We start from the raw sequence: 16,349 nt of genomic DNA, 5'->3' as shown, positions 1-16,349 counted from the left end.
TCATGAAGAATCAAATAAACATGACAACACTAAAGGGAACTATTAAATCACCAGTAACTGATTCCAAATAAATGAGAAGATCTACAAATTTCCTGACAAGAATTTGAAATAATCATCATACGGAAGCTTAATGGGATGCAAGAGGACTGTGTTAGTCTGTTCTCACACTGCTAGTAAAGAAATACCTGAGACTGGGTAATTTATAAAGAAAATAGGTTTAATTGACTCACGGTTCAGCATGGCTAGGAAAGCCTCAGGAAACTTACAATTATGGTGGAAGGGCAAGCAAACACATCTTTCTTCACAAAGCATCAGGACAGAGAAGAATGAGAGCAGAGCGAAGTGGGAAGCCCCTTATAAAACCATCAGATCTCACGAGAACTTACTATCACAAGAATAGCATGGGGAAAACCGCCCCCATGATTCAATTACCTCCCACCTGGACCTTCCCACCACACATGGGGATTATGGGAACTACAATTCAAGATGACATTCAGGTGGGGACACAGCCAAATCATATCATACCACCCCTGACCCCTCCCAAATTTCATGTCCTCACATTTCAAAACACAATCATGCCTTTCCAACAGTCCCCCAAAGTCTTAGCTCATTCCAGCATTAGTCAAAAGTCCAAGTAAAAAGTCTCATCTGAGACAAGGCAAGTCTCTTCTACCTATGAGCTTGTAAAATCAAAAGCAAGTCAATTACTTCCTAGATACAATGGAGGTACAGGCATTGGATAAATACACCCATTCCAAAAGGGAGAAATTTGCCAAAACAAAGGGCTACAGGCCCCATACCAGTTTGAAATCCAATGAGGCAGTAATTAAATCTTAAAGCTCCAAAATAATCTCCTGTGACTCCATGTCTCACATCTAGGTCATGCTGATGCAAGAGGTGGGCTCCCATGGCCATAGGCAGATCCACCCCTGTGGCATTGCAGGGTACAGCCCCCCCTCCCAGATGTTTCCACGGGCCAGTGTTGAGTGCCTGTGGCTTTTCTAGATGCATGGGGGCAAGCTGTAGGTGGATCTACCATTCTGGGGCCTGGAGGACGGTAGCCCTCTTCTCACAGCTCCAACAGGCAGTGCCCCAGTGGGGACTGTGTGTGGGGGCTCCAACCCCACATTTGCCTTCCATGTTGTCCTAGCAGAGGGTCTCCATGAGGGCTCCACTACTGCAGCAAACTTCTGCCTGGACATCCAGGTGTTTCCATTCATCCTCTGAAATCTAGGCAGAAGTTCCCAAACCTCAATTCTTGACTTCTGTGCACCCATAGGCTCAACACCATGTGGAAGCTGCCAAGGCTTAGGGTTTACATTCTGTGAAGCCATAGCCCGAGCTGTACCTTGGCCTCTTTTAGCCACACTGAAACAGCTGGGATGCAGGGCACCAAGTCCCTAGGCTGCACATAGCAGGAGGTACTGGGCCTGACCCAGGAAACCATTTTTCCTCCTAGGCCTTTGGGCCTGTGATCAAAGGGGCTGCCATGAAAGTCTCTAACATGCCCTGGAGACATTTTTTTTCATTGTCTTGGTGATTAACATTCAGCTCCTTGTTATTTATGCAAATTTCTGCAGCTGGCTTGAATTTCTCCCCAGAAAATGGGTTCTTCTCTTCTATTGCATTGTCAGGCTGCAAATTTTTCAAACTCTTATGCTCTGCTTCCTCTTGAATGCTTTGCTGCTTAGAAATTTCTTCTGCCAAGTCTTGCTTTGGCTATGTGGGCTCATTTTTGGTTCCATATGAATTTTAGGATTTTCTTTCTAGTTCTATGAATAATGGTGGTTGTATTTTAATGGGAATTGCATTAAATTTGTAGATTGCTTTTGGCAGTATGGTCATTTTTACAATATTGATTCTACCCATCCATGAGCATTAGAAGTGTTTCCATTTTTTTTGTGTGTGTGTTGTGTATGATTTCTTTCAGCAGTGTTTTGCAGTTTTCCTTGCAGAGGTCTTTCACCTCCTTGGTTAGGTATATTCTTAAATATTTTATTTTATTTTTGCAGCTATTGTAAAAGGGGTTAAGTTCTTGATTTGATTCTCAGCTTGGTCGCTGTTGGTGTATAGAAGAGCTACTGATTTGTGTACATTAATATTGTATCTGGAAACTTTGCCAAGTTCTTTTTCAGTTGTAGGAGCTTTCTGGAGGAGTCTTTAGGGTTTTCTAGGTAAATCATATCATCACCAAACAGCAACAGTTTGACTTCCTCTTTACCGATTTGGATGCCCCTTATTTCTTTCTCTAGTCTGATTGCTCTGGCTAAGATTTCCAGCACTATGTTGAATAGAAGTGGTGAGAGTGGGCAAACTTGTCTTGTTCCAGTTCTCAGAGGGAATGCTTTCAGCTTTTCCCCATTCAGTGTTATGTTGGCTGTGGGTTTGTCACAGATGGCTTTTATTACACTGAAATCTGGAGGTATCACATTATCTGACTTCACATTATACTATAAGGTCATAGTGACCAAAACAGCATGGTACTGGTATAAAAATAGGCATATACCAATGATACAGAATAGAGAACCCAGAAATAAACCCCAAATTCTTAAGCCAACTGATCTTCGACAAAGCAAACAAAAACATACAAGTGGGGAATGGACACCATATTCAACAAATGGTACTGGGATAATTGGCAAGCCACATGCAGGAGAATTAAACTGGATCCTCATCTCTCACCTTATACAAAAATCAACTCAAGGTGGATTAAGGACTTAAACCTAAGACCTGAAACTATAGAAATTCCAGAAGACAACATTGGAAAAACCCTTATAGACATTGGCTTTGTCAAGGATTTCATGACCAAGAACCCAAAAGCAAATGCAATAAAAACAAAGATAAATAGCTGGGACTTAATTAAACTAAAGAGCTTTTGCATGGCAAAAGGAACAGTCGGCAGAGTAAACAGACAATCCACAGAGTGGGAGAAAATCTTCACAATCTATACATCTGACAAAGGACTAATATCCAGAATCTACAGGGAACTCAAAAAAGCTAGCAAGAAAAAAACAATGCCATCGAAAAGTGGGCTAAGGACATGAATAGACAATTCTCAAAAGAAAATATACAAATGGCCAGTAAACATATGAAAAAATGCTCAACATCACTAATGATCAGGGAAATGCAAATGAAAACTACAATGTGATACCACCTTACTCCTGCAAGAATGGCCATAATCAAAAAATCGGAAAAAAAAAATGATAGATGTTGGCATGGATGCAGTGGACAGGGAACACTTCTACGTTGCTGGTAGGAATGTAAACTACTATGACCACTATGGAAAACAGTGTGGAGATTCCTTAGAGAACTAAAAGTAGAACTACCATTTGATCTGGCAATTCTGCTACTGGGTATCTAACTAGAGGAAAAGAAGTCATGATACGAAAAAGATACTTGCACATGCATGTTCATAGCAGCACAATTCACAATTGCAAAAATGAGGAGCCAACCCAAATGTCCATCAATCAATGAGTGTATAAAGAAACTGTGGTATATATATATATATGATGGAATGCTACTCAGTCATAAAAAGGAATGACTTAGTGGCATTCACAGCAACCTGGATGAGATTGGAGACTATTATTCTAAGTGAAGTAACTCAGGAATGGAAAACCAAACATCGTATGTTCTCACTCATAAGTGGGAGCCAAGCTATGAGGATGCAAGGGCATAAGAATGACCCAATAGACTTTGGGGACTCAGGGAGAAAGGTGGGAAGCGGGTGAGGAAAAAACGACTACAAATCGGGTTCAGTGTATACTGCTTGGGTGATGCGTGCACCAAAATCTCACAAATCACCACTAAAGAACTTACTCATGTAACCAAATACCACCTATGCCCCCCAAACCTATGGAAATAAAAAAATAAAAAAAAAGACACTTCTTATTCCAGATACTTTAAATCATCTCTCTCAAGTTTAAAGCTCCACAGATCTCTAGGGCAGGGGCAAAATGCCAGCAGTATCTTCGCTAAAGCATAACAAGAGTCACTTTTGCTCCAGTCCTCAACAAGTTCCTCATCTCCATCTGAGACCACTTCAGCCTGGACTTCATCGTCCATTCCACTATCAGCATTTTGGTGAAAGTCATTCAACAAGTCGCTAGGAAGTTCCAAACTTTCCCACATCTTCCTGTCTTCTGAGCCCTCCAGGTCTCTAGGAAGTTCCAAACTTTCCCACATTTTCCTGTCTTCTTCTGAGCCCTCTAAACTGTTCCAACCTCTGCCTGTTTCCCAGTTCCTAAGTCACTTTCACATTTTCAGGTATCCTTATAGCAGCAAGCCACTCTAGCAGTACCAATCTACTATATTAATTCATTCTTGTGCTGCTAATAAAGACATGAGGGAGACTGGGCAATTTAAAAGAAAAGAGGTTAGATTGACTCACAGTTCAGCATGGCTGGGGAGGCCTCAGGAAACTTAGACTTATTGTAGAAGGAGAAGCAAACACATCCTTTTTTTATTATACTTTAAGTTTTAGGGTACATGTGCACAACGTGCAGGTTTGTTACATATGTATACATGTGCCATGTTGGTGTGCGGCACCCATTAACTCGTCATTTAACATTAAGTATATCTCCTAATGCTATCCCTCCCCCCTCCCCACTCCCCACAACAGGCCCCGGTGTGTGATGTTCCCCTTCCTGTGTCCATGTGTTCTCATTGTTCAATTCCCACCTATGAGTGAGAACATGCGGTGTTTGGTTTTTTGTCCTTGAGATAGTTTGCTGAGAATGATGGTTTCCAGCTTCATCCATGTGCCTACAAAGGACATGAACTCATCCTTTTTTATGGCTGCATAGTATTCCATGGTGTATATGTGCCACATTTTCTTAATCCAGTCTATCATTGATGGACATTTGGGTTGGTTCCAAGTCTTTGCTATTGTGAATAGTGCCGCAATAAACATATGTGTGCATGTGTCTTTATAGCAGCATGATTTATAATCCTTTGGGTATATACCCAGTAATGGGATTGCTGGGTCACATGGTATTTCTAGTTCTAGATCCCTGAGGAATCGCCACACTGACTTCCACAATGGTTGAACTAGTTTACAGTCCCACCGACAGTGTAAAAGTGTTCCTGTTTCTCCACATCCTCTCCAGCACCTGTTGTTTCCTGACTTTTTAATGATCGCCATTCTAACAGGTGTGAGATGGTATCTCACTGTGGTTTTGATTTGCATTTCTCTGATGGCCAGTGATGATGAGCATTTTTTCATGTGTCTGTTGGCTGCATAAATGTCTTCTTTTGAGAAGTGTCTGTTCATATCCTTTGCCCACTTTTTGATGGGATTGTTTGTTTTTTCTCTTGTAAATTTGTTTGAGTTCATTGTAGATTCTGGATATTAGCCCTTCGTCAGCTGAGTAGATTGCAAAAATTTTCTCCTTTTTTTTTTAAAAAAAAAAAAGATGCCAGGAAGGAGAAGAATGAGAGCTGAGTGAAGGGGGAAGCCCCTTATGAAACCATCTGACCTCGTGAGAACTTAATATCACAAGAATAGCCTGGGAAAAACCACCCCCACGTTTCTATTACCTTCCACCAGGTCTCTCCCACTACATGTGGGGACTATGAGAACTACAATTCAATATGAGATTTGGGTGGGGACACAGCCAAACCATATCAAGAACACAGAATACTAAATGAAATGAGGACAATACATGAGCAAAATAAGAAGTTTAATGAAGAAACATAAACTGTAAAAAATGACCAAACAGCTGAAGAATGTGACAGAAAAGACAAATTCAAGACAGAGCTTCAGAAGCAGACTTGATCATATGATTTACTAATCCCACTACTGGGTATATACCCAAAGGAAATGAAACAATTATCTTGAAGAAATATCTGCACCCCTATGTCCATTTCAGCATTATTTACAATAGCTAAGATATAGAGGCAGTCTCTGTCCATCAACAGATGAATGGATAAATAAAATGTTGCACATATAGACAATGGAGTACGATTAAGCCATAAAAAAGTAATCCTGACATTTGTGACAACATGGATGAACCTGGAGGACATTATGCTAAGCAAAACTAGCCAGACAAAGAAAGACTTATATGTAGAATCTAGAACAGTCAAAGAAGACAGTAGAACAGTGGTTGCCAGAGGCTGTGGAATTGGGGAAGTAGGGAGATTTCGGTCAAAACTTTAACTTACAAAATAAGTTCTGGCAATATGATATACAGAATGGTGAATATAGTTAATAATAAGTATACTTAAAATTTGTTAAAGCTGTAGATCTTAAGCATTCACACCTCCTAATAAAGAAAAAAAGCAGAAACTATGTGAGGTAGTGGTGTGTTAATTTAGCTTGATTGTTATAATAATTTCACAATATATACTACGCCAAATTATATATTGTATACACTTTAACTGTATACAACTTGAATTTTCTAATCATGCCTCAATAAAACTTGGAAAATATAAAAAATCGGGGATAGGGAGTGAGTTTAGATGACTTTTTAAAAGAGTGTTGCTGTAAAGGCAGCAAATGAGATTGTAGCTGGGAGAAGACGTGGGTTTAAGAGAAAGGTTTCAAAAATGAGATGTATCACAGAATGCTGATGAGGATTCTCCAGTAAAAAGAAATAAGTAGTGATTCACAAGAGAGTAGAATTTCTATAGTGTTATCCTTAAAAGGACAGAGAAGTTGACACACAGTTCACAAGTGGAGGGGTAAGAGCAAGGACAGTTTATCCATAGTCACTAAAAAGAAAGCATAATATGTATGCACGATACTGGTGGGCAAGGAGATGTGGGAAGCATATAGACATTCTCTTCTGATGGCCTAGATTTTCTTAATGAAATAGAAAGCAAGGGCATCAATTGAGAGGGAGGATAGGAAGGAGGTGAGGCAATTTCAGTAAAGAGAAGGTGAGAAATGGTCTTCTTGGAGAGTGGGAAAATAGATGGAAAGGACATGTGGTAGGATTGTTGAACAGCACCAAAGATCAGCTTGAATTTGGAGAAGCCAACTTGGTTATGTATTTTTGGTCCAGTTACATTCACATATTCAGCTGCTCAGTCAGGCACGGCTTAAGAGTAGGCAATGAATTAGATTTAACCAGAATTTTGTTTTGCTAATTTAGTATGATGAAGGGAGATAGAGACAAGGAAGTTTATTGTGTTGTGTGCACAAGGAAGTGATTAGAATGATGGACCATGCCATGGACTTTAAGTTGGCTATGGAGGAATGTGATGGCATGAGTGAGGGCAGGGGAAAGTTGATAGAATAAATGAACTGTAAGATTTATCTTAGTACTCAATCAGCTGAATGTTTGTGTCATCCTTGGATATTGAGAAAATGCTCCTAAGCCCCATTCAGCAGCAGACAACATTTGAGTTCAATATGCGTAATGGAATAGATTCATATCCTGTTTGCAGGTAATGTGGAGTTGTACAAAGCGGGACAAGTGTGAATAGCTGAGGGCTCTAGTCCTGGTTCTTCAGTACCTTGTTGCCTGTCTCTGAGCAAGTCATTTCTCTTTTGGGAGTCTCAGTTTATTCATTATTTGAAATATGCAGAACATGATCTTTGGTTCATTTATATTAATTGCAGGGAGGAATCAAGTGAGATAATAAATGCAAAGGCATTTGGCAAAATGGAAAGTATTCTAAAAGCTACTATTTCTTTGTCACAGTAGTAATGACGACAGCAATAATAATGAAACCATTATTTTTTACATTTCAGAGATTGTTTTAATTACTTTAAATGTATTATCTCGTAATTCTTATGAGAGCATATTCTCTGCTTGCTATTATTTATTTCCATTTACAAATAAATAAACTGAAGCCTAGAAGGTTAAATAACTTTTTTAAGGTCAAAAAACTATTTCTGAGTATGTGGTTTATACACAGACCTGTCTGTCTTCAAAGCTGATGTCTTTTTGGTCAACATTTTGTTTGTAAAATTAAGATATCTGAATACATATCATTTATTGCGCTTTTATACTTATTATCTCACATGATTTCCCCCTCACCAGCTATTATAGATTTCACATGATCTATAATTTGTCTATAGTCATCTATTGGAGGCCTGTCTAATCTAAGTTCTGCCGCTTCAGCCTTGTGTAATTATCCAAATCTCCTTTGCTAGGCAGATAGAGTAGGGAGCTAAATATTATACTTTAATCACAGACTGAGCTGGTGGAAGCTGGCATTTAGTTTAATGAATCTCAATTTACCATTTCTATGGCTTGTACCCCAGGACATTTATTTGAGTACATGGCAGGTCTTTGTAACCTCAGTGCTAAGAGACTATGGGCATTTTTTTTTCCTGTGTGATTCAGAGGTTTTTGAATTATTTCTTTAGCCTCTTGCCCTGTGAAGATTCAGAATTTGGCAAATCTTTTGAGGGAGAGACCAGCTGTGCATTTAGCATCCTTCAAGACTCCAATTTTGTCATTACCGTCTGCCAAAAGTTCTGCCAAGGACCAAGTGTGGATTCTTATCTTTCAGCAGGTTCCAGATCTGCAAAAGGTGGTTGGAAGATGTGGGTGTTAATTTACTACTCCCTCTAATGCTTTCATATGTTATTTGTTCTTAGTCCTGCCAATCCTGTACCCCCAACCTTTGCCTCCTAATCACCTAGAGACTGTGGAAATAATTCTACTTTGCTTTAAGTTTTGGCTTAATCTCTTTATCTTCCTCTTCAGTTTAGCTTTGGAGTTTAGCAAATATCTTGAAGGAGAAATAAATTGTCTATTTGAGGCCTGTCTAATCTACATTTTTTTACTTCAGCTCTGTGTAGCTGTCAAAAAGTCCATCAGCAGCAGCTCTCCACCTAGACCTAGCTCAAATTCTCAAGCTCAGATCCATGTTCAGAATCAGGACATATTCTCGGAGACAGCTGTGGAGCCTCAGTTTACCTCCGAAAGACTGTCCTCATTCTGGAATTGTATTCCCTCTAGTCTTGCTTACTTCTACAGTTATTGGGTGTCTATAAATATATATATAATTTTTGAAATCTATCTTTTTTCTAATTGTTTTCAGTGGAAATATTGACCTGCCATGAACTATTCCATTTTACTCAGAAGTAGAAGTCAAATCCTGTAAGTTTTAATAAATAGTAAGTTTACTAAATAGTATTTTTGCTATTATTCAGTTCATAATATTTTCGATTTCCGTTGGATTATTTACAAGCATATTGCTTAACTTCTAAACAATGGGACTTTTCTAGTTACTTTTTCATTATTGTTTCCTAATATGATTATATTATAGCTAAAAAATTATTTTATGATTTTGTTCATTTGAAATATGTAGATAATTGTATTATGGCCCAGCAAAATGGACAGTTCTCTACATGTTGTGTGGGTATTTGGAGAATATGTATTCTATAGTTACTTGGTTTAATGTTCTTTTGCATATTCTTTGTCTTTGCTAACTTGTTTGTGTTTATTCCATCATTTACTGATGAAAGTGTATTAAATTTTACCATGTTTCTGGGTTTTTCTTTTTCTTCTTTTACTACTGTCAGTGTTTTCTTTAGATATTTTGAAGACATGTTACTAAGTATATAAATTTAGAATAGTTAATATTTCCTCATAAATTTAATTCTTAATTTTTACCTACTATTGTCATTTTTTTCTCTGGTAATTCTTTTTGCTTTAAAGTCTTCCTTATCTGATGTTGTCATAGCTATACCAGCCACATGTTGGTTAGAGTTTGCATGGTCTTTACCCATTCATTTACTTTCACTCTTTTCCCTTTATGTTTTGAAGTTGTGTTCTATAAATAGCATATAGTTGAGACTTGGCAGGATCCAGTTGGACAGTATTTAGTTAATTGGAGCATTACTCTATGTATAGTTACTATAATTACAAATACATTTGCATTAAAAATGTTCAGCTTATTAAGTGATTTCTATTCATTCCACCTGCCTATATTCTTATTTTCTCTTGCTTGCCTTATTTTAGAATGAATATAGATTGAGTATATTCAAGCATTCTAAAATACACATATATACTCTATTAGCTTGAAGATTTTATACCTTTTTGCTATTATTTTAGTGTTTACTATAAAAATGGAAATTCATTAACTCATAAGAGTTTAATATGAATTGACACTTTTACTTGCTTCATGAATGCTTTATCTATGACCTATCATTTATTTTTTGTCTTACATTCTTGTATTCCAGCAAGACATTATTGTTTATATTATCAGTACTCTTTTTTTTTTTTTTTTTTTTTTTTTGAGACGGAGTCTCGCTCTGTCGCCCAGGCTGGTCGGCTCACTGCAAACTCCGCCTTCCGGGTTCACGCCATTCTCCTGCCTCAGCCTCCCGAGTAGCTGGGACTACAGGCGCCCGCCACCACGCCCGGCTATTTTTTTGTATTTTTAATAGAGACGGGGTTTCACCGTGTTATCCAGGATGGTCTTGATCTCCTGACCTCGTGATCCGCCCGCCTCGGCCTCCGAAAGTGCTGGGATTACAGGCGTGAGCCACCGCGCCCGGCCTATCAGTACTCTTTAATATTATTACCATTTTATTTCATTTTGTTGTTGTTGTTGCATTCCCAAGCTTCCATATGGGATTACTTTTCTTCTGCCTGAAGAATGTGCTTCCAGTTTCCTTTAGAATATATTATGGACTGAATGCTTGCGTCCTCTCAAAGTTCATATGCTGAAGCCCTAACGCCCAATGTCACTGTATTTGGAGACAGGGTCTGTGAGGAGGTGATAAAGGTTAAATGAAATTGTAATGGTAGGACCCTCATTTGAAAAGGCTGGTGCCCCTATAAGAAGAGGAAGAGACACCAAAGTGTGCTTGCTCTCTCTCTCTCTGGCGTGCTCTCTCTCTCCCTCTCTCTTTGTCTCTCTCTGCCATTTAAGGACACAGCCGGAAGGCAGCAATCTGCAAGCCAATTTAATATTGCAAAAACTCACCTCATGCTCCCTTCCAGTCACTGGTCCCTTTCCATGGGTAGCCATTGTCTTGATTTTTAAACAGAATACTTGTACATGTTTTTAAATTTTATATAAATGGAATTATATAGTATGTTCTTTATTGCATCTATGTTCTTGCACTCAACATTATGTTTGTGATATTTATTCATGTTTAGAATTGTAGATCATTGGTTCTCAAACTTTAGCATCTATCACAATTACCAAGAGGGCTTGTTCAAGCACGAATCGCTGGGTCACAGCCCAGAGTTTTGATTCAGTATGTCTGGGGTGGAGGCTGGGAGTCCAGTTTTCAGGTGCTGCTAATGCTGCTGATCCAGGGGCCATACTTTGAGATCACTGTTGTAAATCATTCACTCTCACTGATTTATAGCAAAGATCAGCAAACTTTTTGTTAAAGGGCCAGATAGCAAATTGCACAATCCCTGTAGGTCAAGAGGCAAAATTGATGACTTTATGTAGGTAATTGTATAACTGTTAAAAATGTAGCCATTTAAAAATGTAACAAACATTCTTCACTAAGGGGCTATAAAAAAATAAGGGACTGGTCACATTTTTCCTGTGGGCTGCAGTTCATTGACTGATGATGCATAGTACTCCATTATATCACGATATTACAATTTGTTTATCCTTTAAACTGTTGATGGGGATTTGGGTAGTGTCCAGATTTTAGCTTTTACATATGAACACTGTTATGAGAATCCTCAAACATGTCTTTTGGTGAACACATGTATGGATTTCTGTTGGGTACATACCCCAGAGTAGAAGTGCTGTGGAATAAAGGTATGCATGTCTTCAACTTTAGGAGAAACTGCCGATTTTCTAAACCGGTTGTATCAATTTACACTCCCACCAACAATATGTGAGAATTATTGTTGCTGCACATTGGTGGTGTTCTGGAGCTGGGTCATACTGGCTTTCAAGGACCAATTGTGGGCATCTCTTCTCAATTCTGCATTCAGTGGTCTCAGGATGGCTGCCTGAAATTGGCTATGGTGGTAGTATTTACAGTATGGAGACTGGAAAAAAAGCCATAAATCAGGGATCTTATATATTCATTTCTAAGAGAGCCAGGTGTTCAACATTGACCATTATCTCATATCTAGACATTTTTGTCAACATTTGGTATTTAATACTTTTTGTCTACATTGTAGCTATTCAGGTGGTGGTATAGTACTATCCTTTGTGGTTTTAATTTGCTGCTTTGCATCTCTGATGAGAATGAAGTTAAACAGCTTTTCAAATATTTGTTGGATATTTTAATATCCTTTTCATTATGTTCATTTGTCTAGTTTTTTAGATAGGTTGTCTTTTTATCTCTATCTATGTTCTATCTATCTATCTATCTATATATGTATGTATGTTTATATATTCATGGTAGAAGTTCTTTGCCAGATATGTGTATTTCTAATGTCATCTCCTATCCTGTGGATTACCTTTTCATTTTTTATTGGTGTTTTTGATGAACAGATCTTAATTTTAGTGTGGTCTAAGTTACCATTTCTTTCTTTAATGGTTAGTGTTTTTTGTGTCCTATTTTTTTTTAAAAAAACTTTGCCTATACCAAAGTCACAAAGAGGTTATCCTTAAAGATATTTTCTATAAAATATTTATTATTTTACTTCTGACATAAAATTTTTCAACTCATTTGCAATTCGTATGGTGTGACTTTGTGATATAATTGCAGTTTTTTCCATATAAGTGTGCATTTAATATGGCACTATTTATTTGAAAGACTACACTTTCACCTCTGCACTGCAATGTCACCTTTATGAAAAAAAAATTGGGTGATAATATTTGCCTGAATTCTTTATTCCATTATATCTATAACCATTCCAGTTAGTATATCCTTGCACTAATACCACAGTTCTTATTTACCATAGCTTGATATATGGTAGTGTAGGTCTTCCAGATGTGTTCTTTTTTTTTCAAGATTGCCTCTGACTATTTTAGCTTTTTGCTTTTCTACATGGATTTTAGAATCAGCTTGTCAGTTTCCACAAAAATCTCTGCTGTTATCTTGATTGAGACTTGAGGTAGGTTGAAGATGTCCACAAAGTCTTTAACACTTCCCACAGAGGACTATGATAATGTCTTCTTGTTTTATTGATCCTTTTATAATTATGAAATAACTTTGTTTTTCTCTAGTATTGCTTCTTGATTTTCCTGATTACAGTTTCATTATCTGTTTTTTTGGTTCATGACTTCTCTTCATTCCTTTTATATTAAACTTTTGCCATGTTAATATTTAAGCTATATTTCTTGTAACTAGCATATATTTGGGTTTAAAAATCCATTCTGACCATCTTAATATTTTACTTGTAAATATTTGACTTATTTTTATTAAATTTAATTACTGATATATAATTTGGTTTAGAATATATTTGCCACAAAATCATCAAGTTTCTATTTGAATCACCTGTTTCATATTCCCTTTTACTTCCATTCTTGCCTTCTTTTAGCATAGTCAATGTTTCTATTTAGAATGTTTTTTTCTATTAATTTGTCAGTTATATCTTCTTCCGCTATTTTAGTAGCGACCTTAGAAATTACAGCAAGAATTTTTGACTTATTACAGTCAAATACAAACTATTTATACCACATCTTTATGCTACTAGAAACTTTAAACAGTGCTTACCCCTTTTTTCACCCTCCTGCATTATTTTTGTCAAGTATTTTCACTTCACATTTCATTTTGCATATAGACTGTACAAAATATTCTAATTACTGTTTTATGCAATCTAAATATATATTTACTTTTACCCATGTATTTATTCTCTCCGGTGTTCTTCATGCCCTTTTGCATTTTCATGTTTCCATCTAGCATAATTTTCCTTTTGACTGAAGAATTTTCTTTGTTTTTGTCTTGTTTTCTTTCAGTGTTGGTCTGCTGGTGAGGAATTCCTTTAATATTTGTTCATATGAAAGCCTCTTTATTTCACCCACATTGTTGAATAATATTTTCTTTGGGTGTAGAATTATATGTTGGTAGTTCTATGTGCTTATTTTTACTTTAGCACTTAAAAAATGTTATAACATTACCTTCTGACTGACCTTGTTTCTTTTGGGAATTCTGCCTTCCGTTTTCCAGTTGTTCTTCTAAATGCGGTGTCTTTTATTCCTCTGGTTGCTTTAAAGATTCTGTATCTTTTTTTTTTTTTTTTTTTTTTTTTGCAGAGCTAGCTGAGGTTTTATTTTGGACGAAAAAAAAGCAATTGAATTGTTTTGTAGTTGGAGGCATGGGCAAGGGTGGTCCTCAGGCAGTGAATTCCGCCGAGGGTGGGCTGAGGGCTAGAGCCGAGCCTCAGGTGTGTCTTCTGTTCCCTGTGCTCCCCTGCACAGCGGCCTCCCTCCCGGGCTCTGGGCAAGTCGCAGGAGGGGCAGGGTGGGAGGGGCTGCCGCAGCTGTTCACTTGGGCGGGACGTCAGAGGACGCGGACACCAGCTTCCCATCGCGGGTCTCGATCTTCTTCACAACCGGGGCCCTGGTGGAGCTGGTGCGGCTGAAGGAGCTGAAGCCCGCGCCAGAGCCAGAGCTGGAGCCCAGGCCGTAGCTGAGGCCGGGGCTTGTGAGGCCCCCATAGGCCGAGCTCAGACCACCTGCAAAACCGCTGGTGGTCTTCATATGAATACTCATGTTCTGCATCCCAGACTCTAGCTGGCTCTCTTCGCCCTCCAGCAGCTTCCCGTAGGTGGCGATCTCGATGTCCAGGGCTAGCTTGACGTTCATCAGCTCCTGGTACTCACGCAGCCGCCTCGCCATGTCCTGCTTGGCCCGCTGCAGGGTGGCCTCCAGCTCGGACAGCTTGACGTTAGCATCCTTAACGGCCAGCTCCCCAAGCTGCTCGGCATCTGCGATGGCGGCCTCCACAGGGAAGCCATCCGGCCTTTGAGGCCCTCAGTCTCAGCCTGGAGCCAGCTGATGTTCCGGTTCATCTCGGAGATCTCAGTCTGTATGCCGCAGGTCATCCCCCTGCTTCCCAGCCAGCACCTGCAGCTCCTCATACTTGACCTGGTCCATGCTCTCAGCCTCAGCCAGGCTGCGGTTGGCGATCACCTCGTACTACGCCTTGACCTCAGCGATGATGCTTTCCATGTCCAGGGAGGGCTGTTGTCCACGGACAGCACCACAGACGTATCCGAGATCTGGGAATGCAGCTCCCGGATCTCCTCTTCATACAGCTGCCTGAGGAAGTTGATCTCGTCAGTCAGCCCGTCCAGGCGAGACTCCAGCTCTACCTTGTTCATGTCAGCTTCATCCACATCCTTCTTGAGGAGGACAAATTCATTTGCCATCTCTTTACGCATATTGATCTCATCCTCATTCTCGTCCTTGAAGTCCTCCACCAGCCCCTGAATGTTGCCAAGCTCCGTCTCCAGCTTCAGCTTCTCCTGGCCCAGAGTCTCCAGCTGCCGCCTAAGGTTGTTGATGTAGCTCTCGAACATGTTGTCCATGTTGCTCTGAGCCATCTCCTGCTGCTGCAGGAGGCTCCACTTGGTCTCCAGCATCTTGTTCTGCTGCTCCAGGAACGGTACCTTGTCGATGAAGGAGACAAATTTGCCTAGGGTCTTGATATGCTCCTTCTCCTGGGTGCGCACGGCCTGGATGTTGGGGTCCACCTCCAGGTTAAGGCGGCTCAGCAGACTCTGGTTGACCATGACGGCGGTGATGCCTCCGATGCCGCTGGCCCCACCATAGCCTCCGCCCAGGCCACCCCAGAAGCTGCTGCTGCCCACTCGGGAGAAGCTGGAGAAGCTGATGCGGGCACCGGGCCCACTCGTGTAGAAGCGGCTGCTGAAGGCCCGTGTGCCAGAGGTGGACACCTTGTACGACTTCTGGGTCACCCTGATGGACATGGTGGAGGCAGGAGTGGAGGCAGGTGGGCTGAACCAGGCAGAGATTCCAGAAGGAGCAGAGAAGCTGCTTCTTGGTCTCTTTGTTTTTTTTAACAACTTGACTATGATGTGCCTAGGTGTGGTTTTCTTTTTATTTATCCTGTTTATGATTCACTGAGTTTTTTGATTCTGTGGGTGTATGTCTTTTATTAATTTTGTAAACTTTTTGAATATTATTTCTTTAGGTATTGCTCCTGCCCTATTCTTTCTCTTCTCCCATTCCATATTTGTTAGTTGTTTTTTTACTCTGTCCTACATATGTCTTATGCTCTATCTTTTTTTCCCGATTATTTTTGTTCTTGTGCTTCAATTTTAATATTTTCTATAATTTTGGAGTTATACAAACCTGTTCTTTTGTGTCACATCTCCCATTAATCCCACGCACTGAGTTCCTAGTTTTTTCATTGTAAGATATCCAGTTGATTTTTAGTTCCATTAATTCAAATTATCTATTACAGTTCTTGGTTCTTTCACATATTTTATTTAACTTTTTCTTTACTTCTTTTAAAAATATTAGTCATAGTTAATTTTAAAGTCATTTTCTCGTGATTT

General features: G+C 39.3%; 1 pseudogene; it reads right to left on the bottom strand.

Moving 5' to 3' along the window:
* Window positions 1-14,110: 14,110 nt before the first annotated feature.
* KRT8P8 (keratin 8 pseudogene 8) lies at window positions 14,111-15,834 on the bottom strand (annotated as a pseudogene).

The sequence above is a fragment of the Homo sapiens genome, chromosome X, assembly GCF_000001405.40.
Source record: "Homo sapiens chromosome X, GRCh38.p14 Primary Assembly".
Lineage (NCBI taxonomy): Eukaryota > Metazoa > Chordata > Mammalia > Primates > Hominidae > Homo > Homo sapiens.
The sequence above is the reverse complement of the archived record's forward strand: the minus strand, read 5'-3'. Positions and strand labels throughout refer to the sequence as shown.